Genomic DNA, 1,816 nt, shown 5'->3' with positions numbered 1-1,816 from the left:
AATTGTGAACATCTTACCACAGTTTCCACAATGCCATTTTTAGTCAATGCATTATTTTCTATTTTGTGACTATATTGACGATTTCCACACTGTCAGGTATTTCTTCATATCACTAAATATTCTTCTAAAGCATCAGTTTCCCCTCTGTATAAATATATCATATTTTATTTACTTCATTGCAATCCTATATTGTTGGACATTAGGGTGGTTTTAATATTTAATGATTATAAATAAAGCAAAGAGAAATCACCATGCATACCCATAGTTTTTTCCTTTAACTTTAAACTTTTTCCTTAAACATCCTATTATTGCTGGGAAAAATGTATGCAAATTCTTGTGGTCATTGACACACATGGCCAACTTGCCCTCCAAAAAGGTTATATCAATTTATATTCTTGTAAGGAATGTCTACATGAGAATGTTTCATTCTCTATATTTTTATCAACATTAGGAGTTATGTGTTTATTGTCTTTGCCAATTGGATAAACCAAAACAAATTCCATTATTATCCTTGTTTGCATTTCTTTGATTATAAGTGAGTGAAATTTAACTTTTTTTTGTATGTCAATTGTCAATTTGTATTTCTCTTTCTGTGAAAAAATTTTACACATTTCTGTTCATATTCACATTGAATTGCTTGTCTTTTGTTTTGACAAAATTTATTAAGAATTATTTAAAAAGGATACTGAGTGTGTATTATCTTTGTTGGAGTACATTTTAATCAGGTTAGTTAACTGTTTTTTGTTTGTTTGTTTGTTTTGAGACTGAGTCTCGCTCTGTTACCCAGGCCGGAGTGCAACAGTGCAATCTCTGTTCACTGCAACCTCCACCTCCTGGATTCAAGTGATTCTCCTGCCTCAGTCTCCCAGATAGCTGGGATTACAGGCGTGTGCTGCCACACCTGGCTAATTTTGTAATTTTAGGAGAGATGGGGTTTCACCATGTTGGCCAGGCTGGTCTCGAACTCCTGACCTCAGGTGATCCACCCGCCTTGGCCTCCCAAAGTGCTGGAATTACAGGTGTGAGCCACTGCACCCAGCCAGGTTACTTAACTTTTGCTAACAATTTTGTGTATGGTATTTCTTGATAAGAAAAAGCTTAAATGACTATCAAGCCACGTCTGTTAATCATTTCTTTTATGGTTTCTGCCCTTGACGTCATTAGTGTTTTTTCATCAGTTTCCACGATAAATTTCTAAGTTTTTTTCTTATTGTAACAGATATTTCCCTACATTGTCATTTGCTTTTACACTTGCTTGTAGCCAAAAGGCCAATGTTATTTACTTCTAAGACACACACATATATATATATTTCAACAATACCAATGACAGTTTTTCTGCCAATCTCATAGCCTCTCACGCATGTGGGCAAAATGGCATATATATATATATATATATATATATATTTGTTATTTAGTCCAATCTGCTGACATATTTCTCTGTTATTCTTTTCCATGTTGTTTATGCTTAGAGACTCTTCGTATACGCAGAGATCAGTGAAGGGATCACCTAGCAGAGCCCTTCAGAGTCTGGGCTGCTAGGACTGAGTCCCGGCTCTGCTGTGACTGTGTGATGAGCTTCTCTTACCTCAGTCTCTTTGACTCAGTCAATTATATACTTGAAACTGAGTTTCCACTTCTTCAACTGTACAGTGGGCATAACTGCACATGGGTAATGGGTGGACTATTAGTTCTGTGCCTAGTACATACTAAGCTCTCAATGCTTTTCCTCCTAGATTAAAAACAAATAATTCACTTATTGTATTTGACTTCTGAATTTCTCTGGATTGTTTTTTGTTATAATTTAAAGTAACAATCC

The sequence above is a fragment of the Homo sapiens genome, chromosome 21, assembly GCF_000001405.40.
Source record: "Homo sapiens chromosome 21, GRCh38.p14 Primary Assembly".
Classification (NCBI taxonomy): domain Eukaryota; kingdom Metazoa; phylum Chordata; class Mammalia; order Primates; family Hominidae; genus Homo; species Homo sapiens.
Note: the sequence above shows the minus strand (reverse complement) of the source record.